At 44.0% G+C, this 24,756-nt stretch overlaps 2 protein-coding genes and 1 long non-coding RNA gene across 5 annotated transcripts in view; all 3 read left to right on the top strand.

The window, feature by feature from the left end:
- The window catches only part of PPP1R3F (protein phosphatase 1 regulatory subunit 3F), a 31,677-nt gene extending 25,887 nt beyond the window's left edge, over positions 1-5,790 (top strand). For both annotated transcript variants that reach the window (XM_017029934.2, XM_047442614.1), the window contains exons 4-5: positions 3,597-3,756; positions 5,672-5,790. In XM_017029934.2, the coding sequence (XP_016885423.1) occupies positions 3,597-3,755 (159 nt within the window). In that variant the 3' untranslated portion in view covers position 3,756; positions 5,672-5,790. The remainder of the gene's footprint in view (positions 1-3,596; positions 3,757-5,671) is intronic.
- Positions 7,967-24,165, top strand: GAGE10 (G antigen 10; the record flags this gene model as incomplete). Of its 2 annotated transcripts, NM_001098413.4 has the most annotated exons (5): positions 7,967-8,074; positions 9,173-9,261; positions 9,725-9,845; positions 21,484-21,609; positions 24,049-24,162. In NM_001098413.4, the coding sequence occupies 4 exons, from the start codon at positions 9,181-9,183 to the stop codon at positions 24,069-24,071; spliced, it is 351 nt and encodes a 116-aa protein (NP_001091883.3). In that variant the 3' UTR covers positions 24,072-24,162. The 2 variants fall into 2 exon arrangements, with proteins under 2 accessions (NP_001091883.3, XP_024308093.1); XM_024452325.1 differs by lacking the exons at positions 7,967-8,074; positions 9,173-9,261 and having other exon boundaries at positions 9,686-9,845; positions 24,049-24,165.
- On the top strand, positions 12,166-20,519 carry LOC124905188 (uncharacterized). The gene is made up of 3 exons (XR_007068231.1): positions 12,166-12,803; positions 18,015-18,312; positions 19,984-20,519. It is a non-coding gene; the product is annotated as an uncharacterized LOC124905188 (long non-coding RNA).
- Positions 24,166-24,756: the final 591 nt, after the last annotated feature.

Below are 24,756 nucleotides of genomic sequence, written 5' to 3' on the forward strand. Positions count from 1 at the left end.
AGATTTTGTAGAATTGGTATTATTTCTTCTTAGATGTTTGACACAATTTGCCAGTGAAACCATCTGGACCTGGCAACTTTATCTTCTTCTTTTTAAAAAAGACTTTTTTTTTTTTAAAGAGCAGTTTTAGGTTTACAGTAAACCTGAGAGGAAGGTACAGACATATCCCATATACCCCTCACCTCCACACATGCACAGCCTCCCCATTATCAGCAACCCTCACCAGCGTGGTGCATTTGTTACAATTGATCATTATCACCCCAATGATACATGAGGTATCATATTGGCCTGAAATTTTCTTTTTTTGTTGTGTCTCTGCCAGGTTTTGGTATCAGGATGATGCTGGCCTCATAAAATGAGTTAGGAAGGAGTCCCTCTTTTTCTATTGTTTGGAATAGTTTCAGAAGCAATGGTACTAGCTTCTCTTTGTAACTCTGGTAGAATTTGGCTGTGAATCCATCTGGTCCTGGGCTTCTTTTGGTTGGTAGGTTTTTAATTACTGCCTCAATTTCAGAACTTGTTATTGGTCTATTCAGGGATTCGAATGCTTCCTGGTTTAGTCTTGGGAGGGTGTATGTATCCAGGAATTTATCCATTTCTTCTAGATTTTCTAGTTTATTTGTGTAGAGGTATGTATAGTATTCTTTGATGGTAGTTTGTATTTCTGTGGGATCAGTGCTGATATCCCTTTTATTGTTTTTTATTGTGTCTATTTGATTCTTCTCTCTTTTCTTCTTTATTAATCTGGCTAGCAGTCTATCTATTTTGTTAATCTTTTAAAAAAACCAGCTCCTGGATTTGTTGATTTTTTGAAGGGTTTTTCACCTCTCTGTCTCCTTCAGTTCTGCTCTGATCTTAGTTATTTCTTGTCTTTTGCTAGCATTTGAATTTGTTTGCTCTTGCTTCCCTAGTTCTTTTAATTGTGATATTAGGGTGTCGATTTTAGATCTTTCCCGCTTTCTCCTGTGGGCGTTTAGTGCTATAAATTTCCTTCTAAACACTGCTTTAGCTGTGTCCCAGAGATTCTGGTACATTGTGTCTTTGTTCTCATTGGTTTCAAATAACTTTATTTCTGCCTTAATTTCATTATTTACCCAGTAGTCATTCAGGAGTAGGTTGTTCAGTTTCCATGTAGTTGTGTGGTTTTGAGTGAGTTTCTTAATTCTGAGCTCTAATTTGATTGCACTGTTGTCTGAGAGACTGTTTGTTATGATTTCTGTTCTTTTGCATTTGCTGAGGAGTGTTTTACTTCAAATTATGTGGTCAATTTTAGAATAAGTGCGATGTGGTGCTGAGAAGAATGTATATTCTGTTGATGTGGGGTGGAGAGTTCTGTAGATGTCTATTAGGCCCGCTTGGTCCAGAGCTGAGTTCAAGTCCTGGATATCCTTGTTAATTTTCTGTCTCACTGATCTGTCTAATATTGCCAGTGAGGTGTTAAAGTCTCCCACTATTATTGTGTGGGAGTCTAAGTCTCTTTGTAGGTCTCTAAGAACTTGCTTTATTTTTATTTATTTATTTATTTATTTATTTATTTATTTATTTATTTTTTGAGACAGAGTCTCGCTCTGTCACCCAGGCTGGAGTGCAGTGGCGCAATCTCGGCTCACTTCAAGCTCCATCTCCTGGGTTCACGCCATTCTCCTGCCTCAGCCTCCCGAGTAGCTGGGACTACAGGTGCCTGCCACTATGCCTGGCTAATTTTTTTGTATTTTTAGTAGAGACGGGGTTTCACCGTGTTAGCCAGGATGGTCTCGATCTCCAGACCTCGTGATCCGCCCGCCTCGGCCTCTCAAAGTGCGGGGATTACAGGCGTGAGCCACCGCGCCTGGCCAATTTTTTGTATTTTTTAGTAGAGGCAGGGTTTCACCATGTTAGCCAGGATGGTTTCGATCTTCTGACCTTGTGATCTACCCGCCTCGGCCTCCCAAAGTGCTGGGATTAGAGGCATGAGCCAACGCGCCTGACCAAGAACTTGCTTTATAAATCTGGGTGCTCCTGTATTGGGTGCATATATATTTAGGATAGTTACCTCTTCTTGTTGCATTGATCCCTTTACCATTATGTAATGCCCTTCTTTGTCTCTTTTGATCTTTGTCTCTTTTGGTTTAAAGTCTGTTTTATCAGAGACTAGGATTGCAACCCCTGCTTTTTTTTTTTTTTTTTTTTTTTTTGCTTTCCATTTGCTTGGTAAGTATTCCTTCATCCTTTTATTTTTGAGCCTATGTGTGTCTTTGCATGTGAGATGGCTCTCCTGAATATAGCCCACCGATGGGTCTTGACTCTATCCAATTTGCCAGTCTATGTCTTTTAATTGGGGCATTTAGCCCGTTTACATTTAAGGTTAATATTGTTATGTGTGAATTTGATCCTGTCATTATGATGCTAGCTGGTTATTTTGCCCATTCGTTCATGCAGTTTCATAGTGTCAATGGTCTTTACAATTTGGTATGTTTTTGCAGTGGCTGGTACTGGTTTTTCCTTTGCATATTTAGTGCTTCCTTCAGGAGCTCTTGTAAGGCAGGCCTGGTGGCGAGAAAATCTCTCAGCATTTGCTTGTCTGTAAAGGATTTTATTTCTCCTTTGCTTATAAAGCTTAGTTTGGCTGGATATGAAATTCTGGGTTGAAAATTCTTTTCTTTAAGAATGTTGAATATTGGCCCCCACTCTCTTCTGGCTTGTAGGGTTTCTGCAGAGATCCACTCTTAGTCTGATGGGCTTCCCTATGTGGGTAACCCGACCTTTCTCTCTGGCTGCCCTTAACATTTTTTCTTTGATTTCAACCTTGGTGAATCTGATGATTATGTGTCTTGGGGTTGCTCTTCTCAAGAAGTATCTTTGTGCTGTTCTCTGTATTTCCTGAATTTGAATCTTGGCCTGTCTTGCTAGGTTGGGGAAGTTCTACTGGATAATATCCTGAAGGGTGTTATCCAACTTGGTTCCATTCTCCCCGTCACTTTCAGGTACACCAGTCAAATGTAGGTTTGGTCTTTTCACATAGTCCCATATTTCTTGGAGGCTTTGTTCGTTCCTTTTTATTCTAATCTTGTTTTCATGCTTTATTTCATTAAGTTGATCTTCAGTCTCTGATATCCTTTCTTCCGCTTGATCGATTTGGCTATTGATACTTGTGTATACTTCATGAAGTTCTCGTGCTGTGTTTTTCAGCTCTATCTGGTCGTTTATGTTCTTCTCTAAATTAGTTATTCTAGTTAGCAATTTCTCTAACCTTTTTTCAAGGCTCTTAGTTTCCTTGCATTGGGTAAGAACATGCTCCTTTAGCTCGAAGGAGTTTGTTATTACCCACCTTCTGAAGCCTACTTCTGACAGTTCGTCAAACTCATTCTCGGTCCAGTTTTATTTCCTTGCTGGCAAGGAGTTGTGATCCTTTGGAGGAGAAGATGCATTCTGGGTTTTGCAATTTTCAGCCTTTTTGTGCTGGATTTTCCTCATCTTTGTGGATTTATCTCCCTTTGGTCTTTGATGTTGGTGACCTTCAGATGGGGTTTCTGTGTGGATGTCCTTTTTGTTGATGTTGATACTACTCCTTTCTGTTTGTTAGTTTTCCTTCTAACAGTCAGGCCCCTCTGCTGCAGGTCTGCTGGAGTTTGTTGGAGTTCCACTCCAGACCCTGTTTGCCTGGGTATCACCAGCAGAGGCTGCAGAACAGCAAAGATTGCTGCCTTTTCCTTCCTCTGGGAAGCTTCGTCCCAGAGGGGCACCTGCCAGATGCCAGCCGGAGCTCTTGTATATGAGGTATGTGTCAGCCCCTGCTTGAAGGTGTCTCCCAGTCAGGAGGCATGGGGGTCAGGGACCCACTTGAGGAGGCAGTCTATCCCTTAGCAGAGCTTGAGCGCTGTGCTGGGAGATCCGCTGCTCTCTTGAGAGCCAGCAGGCAGGAACATTTAAGTCTGCTGAAGCTGTGCCCACAGCCGCCCCTTCCCCCAGGTGCTCTGTCCCAGAAAGATGGGAGTTTTATCTATAAGCCCCTGCCTGGGGCTGCTGCCTTTCTTTCAGAGATGCCCTTCCCAGAGAGGTGGAATCTAGAGAGGCAGTCTGGCTACAGCGGGTTTGCCAAGCGGCCGTGGGCTCTGCCCAGTTTGAACTTCCCGGAGGCTTTGTTCATAATGTGAGGGGAAAACTGCCTACTCAAGCCTCAGTAATGACAAACGCCCCTCCCCCCACCAAGCTTGAGCATCCCAGGTCAACTTCAGACTGCTGTGCTGGCAGTGAGAATTTCAAGTCAGTGGATCTTAGTTTGCTGGGCTCCGTGGTGGTGGGACCTGCTCAGCTAGACCACATGGCTCCCTGGCTTTAGCCCCCTTTCCAGTGGAGTGAACGGTTCTGTCTTGCTGGCATTCCAGGCACCACTGGGGTATGAAAAACAACTCCTGCAGCAAGCTCCATATCTGCCCAAACGGTTGCCCAGTTTTGTGTTTGAAACCTAGGGCCCTGGTGGCATAGGCACAGGAGGGAATCTCCTGGTCTGTGGGTTGAGAAGACCATGGGAAAAGCATAGTATCTGGGCCTGGATGCACCGTTCATCACAGCACAGTTCCTCATAACTTCCCTTGGCTAGGGGAAGGAGTTCCCCGACCCCTACTGCTTCCCCGGTAAGGCAGTGCCCCACTCTACTTCGGCTTGCCTTCCATGGGCTGCACCCACTGTCTAATGAGTCCCAGTGAGATGAGCCGGGTACCTCAGCTGGAAATGCAGAAATCACCCACCTTCTGCCTTGATCTCACTGGGAGCTGCAGACCAGAGGTATTACTATTTGGCCATCTTGCTATTGCTGCTGTTTTTTTTTTTTTTTTTTTTTTTTTTTTTTAAGACAGAGTCTCACTCTGTCACCCAGGCGGGAGTGCAGTGGTACAACTTCAGCTCACTGCACCCTCTGACTCCCAGGCTCAAGCGATCATCCCATCTCAGCCTCTTGAGTAGCTGGAACTATAGGCACAAGCCACCGTGGCCCGATTAATTTTGTTTTTTTGATATAAGTTTTGTAGAGATGAGGTCTCACTATGTTGCCCAGGATGGGATTCTCTGGCTCTTAATAAATAATTGCTTTTTAAATCTTTCACAAAGGAAACCTTGAGTGAGTGAATAATCAAAAGGTGATAGATTGTTTAGTTTCTATTTTCTGTGGCATGAAGGTCAGTGATGCTCAGGATGGGTGTGAGTAAGATGCTTGTGCTAAGCATGCTCCCTGCCCCACAGTCAGTCTGCATGAGCCACTGTTTCTAATAAGACTGTGGATAGAGTGATATAATCACCTCTAACCATATCAAATGTTACACGTAAGTTTCAGATTTTGAGACATGAGTTGATAAGATTTGAAGTTCAAAGACCATGACTTTAGTACTTCCTGAGTAATCAACTGAAATATGTTTTACATATGTGTTTTCCAAATTGCTGACCATTCATTATAAGTGCTTCTGAATTTAAAGGAGGTACTTGATGTATAGGTAAGAAATTACCTTTAAATTCTGGAGGTCTACCCTCAAAGTGTATACAGAGGTTTAATTGGATGTAAGACACAGGATCACCTTTAGGGTTCTGTTTTTTTGTCTATTTAATAAAACCCAAACTGTAGTATGCTTTACATGCCTTTAGAATCATATAAATAAACTGCTGTTAAGTAATGTTCCCAGTTGTTATGTTTCTGTTACAGGTGAAAAGCAATCACGGAGTTAAAAGAAGACAAGCTGAAATGATGCAGGCTGCTCCTATGTTGGAAATTTGTTCATTAAAATTCTCCCAATAAAGCTTTACAGCCTTCTGCAAAGTAGTCTTGCGCATCTTTTGTGAATTTTATTTCTAGCTTTCTGATGCTGTGAAATATGTATCATTCTTTGAAATTTTATATTCTAACTGTTTCAGCTGGTATGCAGAGACATCATTCCTTTTTTTTTTTTCTTTTTTTCTCTTTCCAGACAGAGTCTCACTCTGTTGCTTAGGCTAGAGTGCAGTGGTGTGATCTCTGCTCACTGCAACCCCCGCCTCCTGGATGCAAGCAATTTCTGCCTCAGCCTCCCGAGTAGCTGGGATTACAGGAGCCCACCACCTACCCAGCCAGATTTTGTATTTTTAGTAGAGACGGGGTTTCGCCATCTTGGCCGGGGTGCTCTTGAACTCCTGACCTCGTGATCCACCCACCTCGGCCTCCCAAAGTGTTGGGATTACAGGCGTGAGCCACCGCGCCCGGGCGAGACATAATTCTTATATATTGATTTTCTATCCAGCAGCCTTGTGAAATATGCTTATGAATTCTAAAAGTTTACTTCTAGATGGTTTTCAGTCTTCAACATACAGAATCATACCATCCTTGAATAAGAACAATTTTGTTTCTGCCATTTTTTTTTTCTTTTTCCTTTTGTATTTTTTGTAGAGACGGGGTTTTGCCATGTTTCCCGGGCTGTTCTTGAACTTTTGAGTGCAAGTGATGCACCCGCCTCACCTCCCACAGTGCTGAGATTACTGACGTGGGCCACCGTGCCGGGCCTGTTGTTGCCATTGTAAAGAGTTTTATTTCCTTTTCTGATTTTATGGCATTGTGCAGACCCACCTGTTAAAATGGTGACAGTCAATATCCTTGTCTTATCCCTGATGAGAAACCGAAAAATTTCAACATTTCACCATCCTATTTACTGTCCTTTTTTTGTAGATGGACTTTATCAGAGTAAGTCATTCCATTCTGTTCCAAATTTGCTGAGAGTATTCATTTGAATATATGTTGAGTTTCATCAGTGCATCTATTTTGTTTATAACAGCATTTTTTTCCCATTCATCTGTTAATGTAGTGAATTAGATTGATAACTTTGTACATTTTTATCTTCTATTTTTAAAAATCGAGACAGGGTCTCATTCTATCACCCAGGCTGGAGTGCAGTGGTGTTATCAGAGCTCACTGCATCCTTGACCTTCTTGGCTCAAGTGATCCTCCCACCTCAGGCTTCTAAGTAGCTGTGACTATAGGTACATGTAACCATTCCCAGCTAATTTTTCTTCTTCTTTTTTTTTTTTTTTGTAGTGATGAGATTTTCTCATGTTGCTTAGGCTGGTCTCGAACACCTGAGCTCAGGCAATCTGCCCAGCTCAGCCTCCAAAAATACTAGTACTACAGGCATGAGTCTTGGCCTGGCCAGTTTTTCTTATACAAGGGTCTTCTCTATGTAAAGACTAAACTTATCTGTATCTTTGTGAGGGTGTGCTAAGGGCATGATGAAATTTATCATTCTATTGATTTAAAGAAAACTATCCTTGACTTTCCAGTGTGTAAGTCCATGAAAGCATAATTATGTTGAAAGCATATATTGTTATGGGTGTTGAGAACCCTGCACTTTCTGCTGCTGTGGGAGCATGTCCTTGGAGGTACCTTTCGTCTGTTTTCTCAACTCCAAACATCTTAGGACCATGGGTTGTGACTGGTAAGGAATGTGTCTTGCGAGTTTCAAGATGGAGTTGATTTTCACATGGTGTCACTCTGGCTCTCCTGTTTCTCTAATACTGGCACTTCTCTTTCTGTGATTCTGATGCTACAAATGATAGATATCGTTTTAGTATTTTCTTATGGGTCCTAGAGATTGTATTCATTTTTCTTTCAGTCTCTTTCTCTGACTTGTTCACATTTAACAATTTCTTTTTGGGGTAGGTTGCTATTTCTGTTTTCGCAGGTGGTTTACCTGTCTTCTCAGGCAGTCACCGTGGTCCTTGTCCCCATGGTGGGGCCGGGGCAAGAGAGGGCCCTGGAGGGGAGGGGGGTTTAGTTGAAGATGGAGTGAGTTTTGAGGGGAGCACTACTTGAGTCCCAGAGGCATAGGAAACAGCAGAGGGAGGTCAGATTCCATTATCCTCAGTGGGGATGGGAATCGAGGGTTGGGGGCGTGGGGCTGGGAACGGCAGCCTTCCCCAACCCGCAGCTGTACATGCTCCTTGGCTCCCGCCTCAGTGCGCATGTCCACTGGGCGTCTTCTGCTCAGCCGCTTTACCCACGTGGAGAACGCCAGGGAGCTGTGAGGGTGTGTGGTCTCGTTCCTGTCGTCTGGAATATTTTTCCTCTACTGAGATTCATCTGGTAGGTCTGCAGGCCAGTCCTCCCGGGGTCTGAAGTGTGAGTGAGGGTGAAGAGCAGGCAGTGTGCTTCGGGTGAGTCCGTTGGGTCCTGCTTCGTGGTCTGTGGCCTCTGAGGGAGAAGGGCCTCGAGGCTTCTGAAAGGGAAGGGGCTCCTGGCCTCTGAAAGAGAAGGGCCTTGAGGTCGTCCTCCTTCTCTCAAAGGCTGTGAGGCCACCATCTGCTTTGTGGTCGTGAAGGGGCCAGGACAAGGAGGAAGGTGGGCCATGGAGGGGAGGCGGTCAGGGGCTCAGGTGAAGAAGGGGCGATTGCTGGGTGTGCTGTCAGAGGGATGGAAGTCCGGAGGTGCCAGGAATACCCGATACAGGGGAGATCCCTGAATGAGGTCCCGGACAGGTGCGAGGAGGGCGATAAAGAAGGGACCTGGCACCTGGGAAGACTGCGGGCTGGTGAGTGCCCCTGAGCTTTGTGGAGTGGGGAGCCCCGAGTGAGAAGCATCGCAAGATCTCACCTCCGCCATGGAAGGTCTGGCAACAGTGGGAAGGACTGGGAGAGGCTGTGCGGTCCAATCAAACTTGATTTGAGAGAAGTGAATGGCTCTAGTAAGTGGGAGTGTGCCCAAAGTAGCAATCACGAGAATTATGATTCACTAATGTTTTCATGTGGAGTCCACTTGTGAAACTAAACCTCATCAGAAATGACCTCTGCCAGTGGGGCGCCATGGCCTGCGCCTGTAGTCCCAGTTACTCGGGACGCTGAGGTGGGAGGATCCCTTGAGCAGGAGGTCGATGCTGCAGTGAGCTGTGATCACGCCGCTGCACTCTGCCAGAGCAACACAGGGAGACTGCGGGACCAAAAGAAATTTAGAAAAAAAATGTCCTCTGCGTTTTGTCACACGCCTTAAGATGATTGCTCTGCCAGCTTGGCCAGCATAAGTGGCTTTGTAGGCACTCAGAAAAGGTACACACATATGCTTAACTCTGGGACTTATTTTGAAAGTATTTTCAAAATTAAAACGACAAGTTAACATTTATCCATGGAGGTGATCGAATATAGCAGCCCTGTGGAGCGCACGTTCCCAATCACGGTTGTCTGTTTTCAGTGTGAAATATGAGTTGGCGAGGAAGATCGACCTATCGGCCTAGACCAAGACGCTACGTAGAGCCCCCTGAAATGATTGGGCCTATGCTGGTGAGTGCTTAAACGTTAATTCGTTGTTTTCTATTAGCAGAAATTAATTTTTGTGACAGTATTGTTGCATTAGTATGGAAATGCTGATAAAGGTCTTTCCTGCTCATAAAAAATGATGATGGCGTCTCATGAAGGAAACATTGATTCTGGAGAATTTTTTTTCCTCTAGTGTTCTTCAGCTTTTGCCCATGACTTCTTTCTCAGGCTTTGTTTGTTAATGACAGATTGTACACATGTATTCCAACACTGAGTATAATAGCCTCCAAAGTCCTCGTGCGTCACTTTTCTCATAGTAACCTTCCTGTGGGTCGAGTAACCTTATTGGGCATAGAGCATAGAGTTGGAGAAATGTCTTTAGGCTTAGTTAGGACCAGAAATAGCTATGTATTCTGTGTATATATGTAAAATTTTGTATCAATAACGAAACTTATTTTTTATTTGCACACCCACACGTATTCCCCAGCCCGAGCAGTTCAGTGATGAAGTGGAACCAGCAACACCTGAAGAAGGGGAACCAGCAACTCAACGTCAGGATCCTGCAGCTGCTCAGGAGGGAGAGGATGAGGGAGCATCTGCAGGTCAAGGTGAGGGAAAGGGAAGAAGAACGTCTGCTGGTGTGTGCGTGTGTGTGTGTTCGTGTGTGTGTGTGTGCACGTGTGTGTGTGTGTGTGTTAGGCATTGTCACATAGGAGGAAGAGGAGGAAAGAAAACAATGGAAAGAATGCCTGAAATTGACTGGAAAAGCGAGGAGGCTATGTAGTTTGCAGCTTAGCTTAGGCAAATCCCTCACTATGATAAAAGTTCTCATCTTTATGAATGAGAAAATGGAGGCGCTGGGATTGTGTTTTATCCAAGAGCCCTTGACTGGTGAATACAAAATTTGTATTTTGTTCCAAGGTTTGTGTCTTCCTACCATCTATGTTGCTGTAAAAACGGAAATGATTTTGCTGAAAATGCTTAAAACTCAAAGGCTTTACTGTAAGGTAGCTTAGTACTGACCCAAGAATAGACCCAGTTCAGAGGAGCAGGAGCAGCTCCAAAAACCGAGTCACTGAATGTCAGCCACTGTTTCCTTTGATTGATGTTTTTATATGGTACATTTGATAAAAGCTGGATAAATGAGGATACTGCCATACAGGTAGCTGGTTTAGTTATTTTCTAAGTGGCTTTTAGGAGGTGATTAAATCCTTTTATGGTTAGAAAAAGCAAAAAAGGAATTATCCTGAGATTAACATTGAGATAGAAATAATTTCTCCTAGATAAAATATTTTCAAACAAAACATTTATGTAACTGAGGTCATGGATTATTCCAGGGATGCACTGTTAAAAATTTCTAGAATCTGACTGACAACAATGCCCATTAATTGCTGTCCTCCCACTCCCTTATTCTCAGTGTGGGACAGTATATTTTCTGTGATTCACAAACAATGTTATATTTGGTGCTTTGTTCTTCACGGGGTTCATTTATGGAATATTACATTTAGGACCTTTGGACCTAAATATAACTTTATTTGAACAAAATGAAGTTTCTATTTACCTCAATAAGTAATGGGTGTCATGACTGTAAGATTTTCCATAGTCCTCAAATCCATTCAGCTAATCGATCCTTCAGAAATTGACATTGTAATTGTAACCGAAATCCTATCCATGTGGTAGACTTGAGATTTCTTAGCTGATGCACACTGCTCTCGGTACTCTATGGCTGAATATAAGCATTATACATGTCCTGTGGTTTATCCTTAGATTGTCATTTAGGAGAAAGGTCTCAAGCTGGGCTGAATGCTGTGCACGCATAGTCCCAGCTACTTGGGAGTCTGAGGTGAGAGGATTGCTTGAGCCCTGGAGTTGAAGCCCAGCCTGGGAAACATAGCAAGACCTTATCACTAATAAATAAATAAACAAACAAACAAACAAACAGATAACTAAAGGTTTCATGGTATAGGAAAACACAGATGCAAAGTTTGTGCCTAGTTGCTGGTAATGTTGCAAACATAACTCCTTAGTGAACTGTACCACTTAAAAATAGTTAAGATGGTAAATTTTAGAATATGTGTATTTTTTACCATAATTAAAAAAAACCTCCTGTCTTCCTAAAGTTCAGTGTAATTGTCATATATTCTTTTAAATTTTTACTGTATCTATTTTCAAGGCATAACATTATGGAAAATTTGCAAGAATAGTACAATGAACTCCTATACTTTTCACCTAGATTCACCAATTGTTAATAGCTTTCGCTTCATAGGTTTCATATCACTTCCCTCTCTTACCCTGCTTCCCACACACTCACACACACACACATACAGATATATGTTTACTGTTATTAATGCTGAATTGTTTCGATAAATTTTCAGGTGTTATGACCCTTTACACCAAGTACTTGAGGGTGTGTACATCATCAGAACAAAGAAAAAGTAATTCCTTGGTCATCACTGCAGAAAAATCAAAATCAGGAAATTTAACAATGAGAAAATGCAGTCATTTATTACACAGTGTATACTCAAATTTCGCCAGTTCTCCAGACAATTTCTTTTTTCCTTTTTTTTTTTTTCCTTTGTTGAGACGGAGTCTCTCTCTGTTGCCCAGGTTGGAGTGCAGTAGTGCAATCTTGGCTCACTGCAACCTACACCTCCCAGGTTGAAGGGATTCTCTTGCCTCAGCCTCCCATGTAGCTAGGACTACAGGGCCTGGCCACCGTGCCTGAGTAATGTTTCCTTTTTTTTGTTTGTTTGTATTTTTAGTAGAGATAGGGTTCGCCCTGTTGTCCAGGCTGGTCTTGAACTTCTGACCTCACCTGATCTGCCCACCTTGGCATCCCAAAATGTTTGGATTACAGTTGTGATGGAACAGGAATTAAAAGAAATTAAAGAATGTGTAAGCAAAAACTCAGTTGTATGTAAGAAAACCCAATTTCCCCTGAGGAAGAGAAAGAGCTGGAGTCCTTTAAAATTAACTGCCTGTTTTTCCTTCTGTGGCTAGTGAGTCTTATCTCTCCCTTTCCGAGGCATTGTGAAGACCCTGTTTCTCTAGTTGTGCAGCTGCAAGGTCACTAGACAGATAATCTCAAGTGGTAAAACATGTTGTTCCTTGAAAAGTAAGAAATAATGTAATGCATGTTTCAATTGAGTAACTGTATTTGTTTCCCACTTCTGTAATATGCTTCCCCTGCACAGATCTCCCCCTGCCCCACGAAATGCTTAAAAGATAGCTTGACTCTTTGTTTGGGGCTCAGTCCTTTGGATGTTAATCTGACTAGGTCGGTGCATCTAAATAATTAAATAATTCCTCCTCAACCCCTCGGTCTCTCTGATTCCTTAATTATCCTGCAGCATTTCTGGTGACCCGGACAGGGATTGGAGATGGCAGATTTACTGTCTCCTTTGTCTGTGGGACTAGAGCCCCACGGCCAGGGGAGACCTGGTATCCAAGGCGTGCCGTAGGGGAGCTTCACCTGGATGGAGACTGGCTCTCCCGGCATCCCAGTGGCCTAGCTGGCTGCACAACGGAACTGGAGACGGGGCTGCAGCATGATACCAGCACTTCAGGTACCACAGTAAGGAGAAAGGGCCCAAGGCAGGAAAGCCCATCCCATAGGGATGAAGGGGAGCTTGATCACCTCCCGGGGACCGACCACTAATCCAACCCAGAGTGGCTGGGGGGCAGCAGGAGTGGCCTGCCAATTTGGATGAACCTCATGTCCCCCTAATAAAGTGAAAGTGGCTCAGTGGTGGAGAAAATGGGCCAATAGAGTGGCAAGTGCAGCAAGGAAGAGCTTGCTGGCAGGGTGCAAGAGTGGCTTGCCAGCCCAACTGGGAGTGTGTGGGTGTGTGTGTGGACCTACCCAGGACATGAGAGAGGCTCGTTTCGTCTGATGAGGAGTCCTGGGGTAGGAGTGGTGTGTAGGTGTGTGAATGTGGGAGCCTAACTAGGCTCACCCAGGACACGGGAGAGGCCCGTTTTGTCCGATGAGGAGTCCTGGGGCAGGGGACATGTGTGAAAGTGTGTGAAAGAGACGGTCTCGGGAGAGGCCAATGCGGGGAGTGACGTGGGGAAGCACAGATCCCTTAGCGTGGGCTGTGTGCTCTGAGGCAAGTGCGGGGGAAATCAGACCTAGGACGTTGTGTACAGCTGATAGGACCAGCTCCATGGCCACAGCAGGCTGTGAGAGGGGAAGGCACGTTCCTGGCTAAGCAGCCTCTGAAACTCCCATAATAGGACCCAGTCTAGTGGACCCGAGAGTGAAAGTGAGAGTGAAAGTGCGCCACAAGGGAGGAAATGGGAGGAAAAGTGTTGAAACCAACTCCTTTGGAGTGCATGATGAAAAAATTTAAAAAAAGATTTAGAGGTGATTATGGGATGAAACTGGATGCTCAAAAGTTAAGGACATACTGTGAATTAGAATAGCCCTCTTTTAGTGTCAGATGGCGGGCCGAAGGCACTACAGAGAAATTGGCCATGTGTTTTAAGGTGGTGACTAGGGTCAGAGGACAGCCAGGGCATTCAGACCTAGTCTTTACATTGATGACTAAATGAATGCAGCCCTGCCTAGCAGTTTATTGTAGAATGCTCGCAGCTCATGCCAAGAGAAACCAGCTGCTCTGACGGCTACAGAGTTAAAGGGAAAGTCACAGAGGCTTGTAACTCCAAAAGTAAAAAGTGAAAAGTAAAAGCCAAAAGTGAAAGTAAAAATCAGCTGCCCTGGCAGCTATGGAAACAAAAGAAAAGTCTGAGGAAGGAGAAAACTGGTTTTGCAAGAACCACAGGAGGGAATAGAGACCCCTCCTCCCTACATTCCAATCTACCCCCCTTTACTAAGGCTAACTGCCCCTAAGGAGTTAAGTTCAAAGAGATACAGGCTCCCAGTCTCACAGAAGGAGAAATCAGAGCTCCAGGAAGTTAAAGTGAAAAGCTAGAAAAGTCAGGTAGGCCGTCTCAGGTCTGGCCATGCCGAAGTTATGCTTACGCCTCTTACGAGGACAAAAGGACCCCCACTAGGACCCAGATGATGCAGTCTGGCTTCAACACCTACGAAGGTGCCGAGAAACACTTCTGCAAAAGCTAAAGGATAGTAAAAGAAAAAGACAACCAATATAAAAAATCTCAGAGGTGCTCCAGGGTGCAGATAAAAGCACCAGCCAGTTTTAAGAAAGACTTTGTGAGGCATTTTGGGTGTACACTCCGTTTAACCCCAAGGCTGCTGAAAATCAGTGCATGGTGAATACAACATTTGTAAGTCAGGGCCAAGGAGATATTAGGCATAAATTGCAGAAGTTAGAAGCTCCGTAGGTGTGAATGCTACTCAGCTTATTAAAGTGGCTACCAAGGTGTACATTAACTGAGATCAGGAGGCAAAGAAGAAAGCTGATCGGAGGCTTAAGAAAGGCTAATTTACTAGCAGCAGCCCTTACAGGAAGAGAAGCTGGCTCTTTGCAAGGAGACATGGACGCGGGTGTGAACGCAGTCATGGAAAAGGCTAGTCTGGACAGGAGTTTGAAAGCCGGCCGAGGCTAGAGAGAGATTAATGTGCACGGTGCAAAAGGAAAGGACACTAGAAGGATAAATGTCAAAAGAGTAAGGAGAATGGTCAATGGCCTAACACCCAAGAGCGGCGTTCGGTTGCTAGTTGTGGTGCTTCCGAGGCAGATCCTGATCTGATCGGCTTAGCGGGGGGCCGAGAATTTAGCAGACTGAGACAGACCGGGCTCCATCCTTTTAGGCCCCGGGGAGCCTATGGTCTCTATGGAAGTAGGGGGCCGATCAATGGATTTTTTTGGTCGATATTGGTGCTGATTTCTCTGTGGTAACCCACCCGATTAGCCCCCCCCCACAAAGAACTGTGCTACTATCGTAGGGGGTACAGGGGCCAAAGAAAAGAGACCCTTTTGCAAATCCAGGAGATGTATTATTAGGGGACAAGAAGTGCAGCATGAGTTTCTATATATGCCAAATTGTCGAGTGCCCTTGTTAGGAAGAGACTTACTCCAGAAACTGCAGGCACAAATTTCCTTTACACCTAAAGGGAATATGACACTGGAGTTTGGAAAGTCTAAGGCAATGGTATTGACTCTAACTGTCACAAAGGCTGAGGAATGGCGGCTCTGTGAACTGTGTGCCAGAAGGCTACCGGAGCCAGACCTACACAATAAGTGGGGAATGCTTTTCAAGGAACCAGGTGTATAGGCTGAGGACAACCCCCCTGGACTTGCTGCAAACAGACCCCTGGTGGTAGTAGAGCTTAACCCTCATGCTGCCCTGGTACGAGTCCGTCAATATCCCTACCCAGAGAGGCAATTGATGGCATAACAAAACATTTAAATCGGCTGTATGAACATAGGATTATAGTGAAATGCAAGTCCTTCTGGAATACTCCTCTGCTGCCTGTGCGCAAGCCAAATGGTGAATACAGGCCAGTTTACAAAGTGTCCAGGGACAAGGCAAAAGTCTGTTTTCGGGAGGTTGGATATCTAGGATTCATGGTATCCCAAGGCCAGCGCAGGCTTGGAAGTGCATGCAAGGAGGCTGTATGTGCATTGCCCACCCCAGTTTCAAGGCAGCAGGTCAAGAAATTTCTGGGTGCAGTGGGATTCTGCCGAATCTGGATTCCAAACTTCTCCCTTACAGCAAGGCCCTTATATGAGGCTACCAAAGGAAAAGAAAGAGAGCCCCTCGTATAGGAAAAGGAACAGCAAAAGGCCTTCAAAGATATAAAGGAAGCTCTCATCCAAGCCCTGGCGCTAGGGTTGCCAGATGTAAAAAGCCCTTCTTTTGATATGTGGATGAACGGAAGGGAATGGCAGCTGGAGTCTTCACTCAGTTGTTGGGCTCTTGACATTGGCCGGTAGCATACTTATCCAAGCGACTGGACTTGGTGGCCTTAGGTTGGCCCCACTGCCTCAGGGCGCTGGCAGCTATGGCAATCCTTATAGAAGATGCCAACAAGCTAGCCCTAGGTCAGAAGACAATAGTCTGGGTGCCACACGCTATAGTCACCTTAATGGAGCAAAGAGGACATCGTTGGCTGTCCAACTCTAGAATGCTAAAGTATCAAGGGCTTCTGTGTGAAAATCCCCAGATAACACTGGAAACTATAAATACGGCCTGTGGAGGACCCTGATTGGAATGATGGTGGGTTGCCTCACTGCTGGCAGGACCTTCCCCACTGTTGCATAAATACGGTGAACGAGCCGGGAAGATCTCAGAGATACCACCTTGGAGAGCCCAGATGTTGAATACTTCACTGATGGTAGCAGTTTCATAACAGATGAGGTGTGATATGCAGGGTATGCAGTAGTGACCCAATACTCGGTGGTTGAGGCTCAAGCCTTACCTTCTGGGACTTCTGCTTAGAAGGCTGAATTAATAGCATTAACCAGAGCACTGTTATTGGCCAAGGGGAAGAAAGTAAACATATGTAATGATTCAAGATATGCTTTTGCAACCCTGCATGCCCATGGGGCAATACACAAAGAGAGAGGACTATTGGCTACTGAAGGAAAAGAAATAAAAAATAAAGAGGAAATTTTGCAATTATTAGAAGCCATATGGGCTCCAGAGAAGGTGGCTGTTATTCATTGCAAAGGACACCAAATCGGGAAGAGCTATGAGGTGCCCAGCAACAGAAAGGCAGACCAAGAGGCTAGGCAGGCAGCAATGAGAAAGGCTTTACCTGAAGAAAGAACTCTAGCAATGCCTCTCCTTATAGAGCCCCCTTTATTGGAGGTAACCAATTACTCTTCAAGGGAAAAAGCTTGGTTTGGTCAGGAAACAGGAAAATATATTAAAAATGGATGGTGGCTGTTCTCTGACGGGAGGCTAGCTGTCCCAGAAACAAAAGCCCCAAGGTTTGTGAAGCAGATCCATCAAGGAACACACATTGGAAGGACGACTAGAAACTTTGATAGGTCGGCATTTCTATGTGCCACGGCTCTCTGCCATCGCCCATGCTGTTTTTGAACAATGTCTATCCTGTGCCCGGAATAATCCAAAACAAGGACCTACTCGACTTCCCGGAATTCAGGAAGCAGGAACTGTTCCTTGTGAGAACCTGCTTGTAGAGTTCACTGAGTTACCTCTAGCAGGAGGTTACTGGTATATGCTAGTGTTTGTTTACACCTTCTCAGGGTAGGCTGAGGCCTTCCCCACCAGAACTGAAAGGGCACGAGAGGTGACAAAGGTGCTACTAAAAGACATCATACCAAGATTTGGGTTGCCTTTAACCCTAGGATCAGACAGTGGTCCTGCATTTGTGGCAGAAGTAGTACAAAAGCTGACTCAACTTTTAAAGATCAAATGGAAACTGCACACAGCCTACTCACCACAGAGTTCAGGGAAGGTGGAACGGATGAACCGGACACTCAAACAGCTACTAAAAAAGTTTAGCCAGGAAACTCACTTACGATGGGATCAGGTCTTGCCCATGGTCCTCCTCCAGGTCAGGTGTACACCTACAAAACAAACTGGGTACTCACCCTATGAAATATTGTTCGGAAGGCCACCCCCAATTATTAATCAAATTAGAGGGGATTTAAAGGAGTTAGGAGAGTTAACCCTTAGGAGACAGATGCAGGCTTTAGGAGTGGGAATGTAGGAGGTGCATAGCTGGGTAAGGGAAAGGATACCTGTAAGTCTAACAGACCCAGTGCATCCACATAAGCCAGAGGACTCTGTCTGGGTTAAAAGGTGGAATCCAACAACCTTGGGGCCCTTATGGGATGGGCCCCATATTGTGATCATGTCTACTTCCACTGCTGTTAAAGTTGCAGGTGTCACACCTTGGATTCACCATAGCCGCCTGAAACCAGTGGCAGCAGTGACTCCCGACGATGACCAGTGGATTAGCCAACAAGACCCAGATTGTCCCACCCGAATGCTCCTACGGCAAAACCCAACCACCGGTAAGAAGGACGACTGCCCTGCTCTGACCACACCAGAGGCTGGTCAGTCTACATATGGCTGAAGCTTGAGGATCCTACAAGCTCTGCTCTAGTCACATCCTGGAAGCTGACTAGTCTATGCATGGCCGAAGCTAAGAGGACCATCTCCGGATAATTAAATGTAAATACAATTTATAAGCCTAGTTATAATTCTGTCAATACTGATTGTTCTGTTGTTATTACTGCAAATGCTGCAAATGTCTATGCTCAGAAGAAGGTTTGCCATGCCCATGTGTAGTGTAAACATGTTTCTATTACGTACACTGATGTTGTTACCATTTCTGCCTATACTAAAAGGGGAGAAATCTTGAGAAGGATGCCCACATTGTGTACACACTACCTGGGTAAAAAATACCATAGTTAAAATTCTACTGTACCATACCTACTATAAATGTACAGGAATCAAGTTAAGAACCTACACATACAACCAGAAACAGTCTGCAATGGTTTAACACAAGAGAGGCTTAGCAGGACCAGCCCTAAACATCTGTATGGAGAACCACAAATCAGATGCCCTGACTGTAACATTCAGTGGTCTACACTAACACAGCTCTAACACTTATATTCAGGAAGGACTGCTCTGCTAAGGAGTATGTCAACCAAACCAAATTGTAAGACAAGGACATGCAATCCTTTAAATTTTACTATCTTAAAGCCAGAGCTACCTTTCTCGTCTACAGGACAGACAGCACTATTACAGGTAAACAGACAAGGAGCAGGCCTTGGAGTTCCACTACTAATTGTCAAAAAGACTAGAAGGACTCAAATGCGTCCAACCCCGCAATTTCGGGTCCGTAAGTCATTCTATAAGCATTTTGTTCAGTCAGTGCCTGAGCTTCCCCCATCAACCAAAAACTTATTTGCCCAATCAGCTGCAAACATAGCTGGCAGCTTATGAATTTCCTCATGCTATGTATGTGGAGGAAATAATATGGGGGACCAGTGGCCATGGGAGGCAAAGGAATTAATGCCACAAGATAACTTCACTTTGCCTAACCCTGCCAGTGAACCAACAGCCTCAGCCAGTGTTTGGTTGTTAAAAACCTCCATAATTGAAAAATACTGTATTGCCCGTTGGGGAAAGGCTTTCACAGAGAGAGTAGGAGAAACAACCTGCCTAGGGCAACAGTATTATGATAAGACTAAAAACAAAACTCTATGGAGAAATGCCCAGAATGACTCCTACTTACCAGATCCAAACCCTTTCTCTCGGTTCTCTACTCTAAGCCACTCTTGGCATCTCTAGAGGCTCCAAATGCTTGGAAAGCACCCTCTGGCCTATATTGGATCTGTGGCACATAGGCATATTGGCAACTGCTGGCTAAATGGACAGGGGCGTGTGTGTTAGGAACAATCAAGCCATCCTTCTTTCTAATTCCTCTAAAGCAAAGGGAACTCTTAGGGTATCCAGTTTATGAGGAAAATAAAAGAAGAACTAGAAGAAGCATATTCACAAAAATAGACACAAATGTCAAAAAGGATGTAGACATAGGAGACTGGAAGGATAATGAATGGCCTCATGAAACAATCACTAAATATTATGGGCCAACTACCTGGGCACAGGATGGGTCATGGGGATATCACACCACAATCTATATGCTCAACTGCGTCATAAGGTTGCAGGCAGTCCTTGAAATTATAACCAATGAAGCATCAAGGGCACTAGATTTATTGGCAATACAAGCAACACAAATGAGAAATGCTATACATCAAAATAGATTGGCTTTAGATTACCTCTTAGCCTCAGAAGGAGGAGTATGTGGAAAATTTAATTTAACCAACTGTTGCCTAGAAATCGATGATAATGGCTGAGCTGTCATGGAAATCACAGCTAGAATGCGCAAGTTGGCCCATGTTCCAGTTCAGACTTGGTCCGGATGGTCCTTGGATTTGTTGTTTGGAGGATAGTTCTCAACCTTTGGAGGATTCAAAACTCTCATTGGTGGGTTTTTGTTTAATCTTGGCATCTGCCTCATCCTCCCTTTTATTTTACCCCTGATTATTAGGAGTATTCAGTCAACTATAAAGGCAATAGTAACCCGACACACTACCTCACAGTTGATGGCATTAACCAAACATCAGCTGCTGCCAGTAGAAGAAGAAGCCCAGCTCCACGAAGAGGTGGCAAATAATGGTGCTTGCTATGAACACCTTTGTTATGAAAAGCACCAAAGGGGGGAAATGAAACAGGAATTAGAAGAAATTAAAGAATGTGTAAGCAAAAACTCAGTTGTTTGTAAGAAAACCCAACTCCCCCTGAGGAAGAGAAAGAGCTGGAGTCCTTTAAAATTAACTGCCTGTTTTTCCTTCTGTGGCTAGTGAGCCTTATCTCCCCCTTTCCCAGGCATTGTGAAGACTGTTTCTCTAGCTGTGCAGCAGTAAGGTCACTAGACAGATAATCTCAAGTCGCAAAACATGTTGTTCCTTGAAAAGTAAGAAATGATGTAATGCATGTTTTAATTGAATAACTGCCTTTGTTTCTTGCTTCTGTAATACGCTTCCCCTGCACAGATCTCACCTGCCCCACGAAATGCTTAAAAGGTAGCTTCACTCTTTGTTTGGGGCTCAGTCCTTTGGATGTAATCCAACTGGGTCGGTGCACCTAAATAATTAAATAATTCCTCCTCAACCCCTTGGTCTCTCTGATTCCTTAATTATCCCGCAGAAGTGAGACCCCACGCCCAACGCAGATAATTTTATTGATAGAATTCCTTTTTCTGATCCGGAGTCAAGTTCAGGATCACATCTTGCATGTGCTTTTCAGGTGTTTTTAGTTTCCTTTAATCTGGAATGTTTCCTTAATTTGTCTTTGTCATTCATGATACAGACATTTTTGAAGAGGATAGACCAGTTGGTTTCCAGAATGTTCTGCAGTTTGGGCTTTTTCATGTCTTTTTTAAAGACCTTTTTTAAACTCAGCATTTATTGCTGGCTAGTCATGCCATATAACAGTCTAAGTGCTAGGAGTGTAAGTGCTGTGAGAGACAGGATTTCAGCCTTGAATCATTTAATATGAGAAGGACAATCAGAGGTAGAATAACAAAGTGCAAAGGAGGCAGCAGAGTTGTCTGAGGGCAGTCTCTGGAAAGGAAGAGGGTAATATTTGGAACACCTTGTTTTCCTGTTTTCTGCTAACAGACTCCTGAAATAATGTTCATGGGATTCTTATCAACATATTTATTATTATACTAGCTAAAGCTTTTATATAATAACACCGAGAGCATGAATATTATTTTCTTATTCATATTTCATGTTTTACTGCTTAAATTGATATGTATTTTTTATTTTTAATGGCCGAAGCCTGAAGCTGATAGCCAGGAACAGGTTCACCCAAAGACTGGGTGTGAGTGTGGAGATGGTCCTGATGGCCAGGAGATGGGCCTGCCAAATCCAGAGGAGGTGAAAAGGCCTGAAGAAGGTAGGGAATCCATTAGGCATGCACATTGTAGGGTGTCTGTTTCCACAGTATCGTATCATAATTATTATTACATTTTTGAGATGGAGTCTTGCTCTGTCCACCAGGCTGGAGTGCAGTGGTGGCATCTCGGCTCATTGGAAATTCCGCCTTCTGGGTTCAAGTGATTCTCCTGTATGAGCCTCTCGCGGAGCTGGGCTTATGGACATACACCAATGTGCCCAGCTAATTTTTGTATTTTTAGTAGAGACAGGGTTTCATTATGTTGCACAGGTTGTTCCCGAACTCCTGACCTCAGGTGATCCACTTAACTTAACCTTTGAAATTGCCAGGATTACATGCGAGAGCCACCATACGCGACCAAGGCATTATATTTTTAATAACACAGGTAACAATACTGCCTCTTTAGTAAGAGAGTTCTTATATGAAGGTTATTTGAAACGTAGTTCAGGCCCCAGCACCCGACTGATAGACTGTCAGATAGGGAAACAAACTGAGTCAAAGCTATGTTGAATTAAAAGTTTTGAGTATAAATCCTTAAACCAGTAGCTCACAATTTTCAGATGCTTTTGTAAAGGTCTGCTTTTAATCAATACATAACACGTTTGTAACACCCATCACTTGGTGTGAAAAATGCTGAAGCACTCATGCGGGTTCTAATACCAGCTCTTACAGCCTTGGCGAGATTCTGAGTGAGTCCTTTCCCTTCTAAACCTATCTTTGGTTCTTATGAAAATAGTGAGTTTAAGTCAGAGATTTTAAAACCATTTTGCATTCCGTTTCTTTCATACTCTGATCCTGTTGCATAGAATGCGTGGGACACAGAGATCATCTGCTTCGCATGGTTTGTTAATCACAAATCATGAAACCCTGGCCCGAGTCATCTGAAAATCTCTGAATTGAGATTTCATTGTCAGTAAGACAGTGAGCGGGCCCTCTGCTTCATCCTAGTTTTTCCGTGTGGAGAGCTGAATACGTAGTGTAAGATCTTGTGAAATTGTGAATTCTCCCTCTTCTTGGTTTGTTTGTTTGTTTGGGACAGAGTCTCAGTGTGTCACCCAGGCTGGAGTGCAGTGATGCAATTTCAGCTCACTGCAACTTCTGGCTCCCAGGCTAAAGCCGTCCTCCCACCTCAGCCTCCCGAGTGGCTGGAACTACATGCACAAGCCACCGTGCCTGACTACATTTTTTTGTTTTCATTTTTGTAGAGATGAGGTCTCACTGTGTTGCCCAGGCAGGGTTTCTCTGGCTTTTAATGAACAATTGCTTCTTTTTTTTCCTTTTATTTATTTATTATACTTTAAGTTTTAGGGTACATGTGCACGTTGTGCAGGTTAGTTACATACGTATACATGTGCCATGCTGGTGCGCTGCACCCACTATCTCATCATCTAGCATTAGGTACATCTCCCAGTGCTATCCCTCCCCCCTCCCCCCACCCGACAACAGTCCCCAGGGTGTGATATTCCCCTTCCTCTGTCCATGTGATCTCATTGTTCAGTTCCCACCTATGAGTGAGAATATGCGGTGTTTGGTTTTTTGTTCTTGCGATAGTTTACTGAGAATGATGATTTCCAGTTTCATCCATGTCCCTACAAAGGACATGAACTCATCATTTTTTAGGGCTGCATAGTATTCCATGGTGTATATGTGTCACATTTTCTTAATCCAGTCTATCGTTGTTGGACATTTGGGTTGGTTCCAAGTCTTTGCTATCGTGAATAATGCCGCAATAAACATACGTGTGCATGTGTCTTTATAGCAGCATGATTTATAGTCCTTTGGGTATATACCCAGTAATGGGATGGCTGGGTCAAATGGTACAATTGCTTCTTAAATCTTTCCCCACGGAAACCTTGAGTGACTGAAATAAATATCAAATGGCGAGAGACCGTTTAGTTCCTATCATCTGTGGCATGTAGGTCAGTGATGCTCAGCATGGGTGTGAGTAAGATGCCTGTGCTATGCATGCTCCCTGCCCCACTGTCAGTCTTCATGAGCCACTATTTCTAATAAGACGGTAGACACACATACGATATAATCATCTCTAATCATATCAAATGTTACATGTAAGTTTCAGCTTTAGAGACATGAATTGATAAGATTTAAAGTTGAAAGACCATGACTCTAGTACTTCCTGAGTAATCAACTGAAGTATGCTTTACACATGTGTTTTCCAAATTGCTGACTGTTAATTGTAAGTGCTTGTGACTTGAAAGGAAGCACTTGATGTTCAGGGGGGAAATTCCTTTTAAATTCTGCAGGTCTACGCTCAAAGTTTATGCAGAGGTTCAATTGCGTGTAAGACACGGGATCACCCATAGGGTTCTGTTTTTAGTCCATTTAATAAAACCCAAACTGTAGTGTGCTTTGTATGCCTTTAGGGTCATCTGAATAATCTGTTGCTAAGTCATGTTCCCAATCGTTGTGTTTCTGTTACAGGTGAAAAGCAATCACAGTGTTAAAAGAAGACACGTTGAAATGATGCAGGCTGCTCCTATGTTGGAAATTTGTTCATTAAAATTCTCCCAATAAAGCTTTACAGCCTTCTGCAAAGAAGTCTTGCGCATCTTTTGTGAAGTTTATTTCTAGCTTTTTGATGCTGTGAAATATGTATCATTCTTTGAAATCGTGTATTGTAACTCTCTGAGCTGGTATGTAGAGACATCGTTCTTTTTTTTTTCTTTCTTTCTTTGTCCTCTTTTGAGACGGAGTCTTGCTCTGTCGCCCAGGCTGGAGTGCAGTGGCGCGATCTCTGCTCACTGCAACCCCGCCTCCCGGATTCAAGCAATTGTCTGCCTCAGCCTCCCGAGTAGCTGGGATTATAGGCACCCACCAGCACGCCTGGCTAAGTTTTGTGTTTTTACTAGAGATGGGCTTTCGCCATCTTGGCCGGGGTGCTCTTGAACTCCTGACCTCGTGATTCACCTGCCTTGGCCTCCCAAAGTGCTGGGATTACAGGCATGAGCCTCCGCGCCCGGTGGAGACATAATTCTTACATATTGGTTTTCTATCCAGCGGCCTTGTGAAATATGCTTGTGAATTCTAAAGTTTACTTCTAGGTCGTTTTCAGTCTTCAATATACAGAAACATATCATCCTGGAATAAGAGCAGTTTTGTTTCCGCCATTTTTTTTTCTTTTCCCTTTTG

The sequence above is a fragment of the Homo sapiens genome, chromosome X (genome assembly GCF_000001405.40).
Source record: "Homo sapiens chromosome X, GRCh38.p14 Primary Assembly".
NCBI lineage: Eukaryota > Metazoa > Chordata > Mammalia > Primates > Hominidae > Homo > Homo sapiens.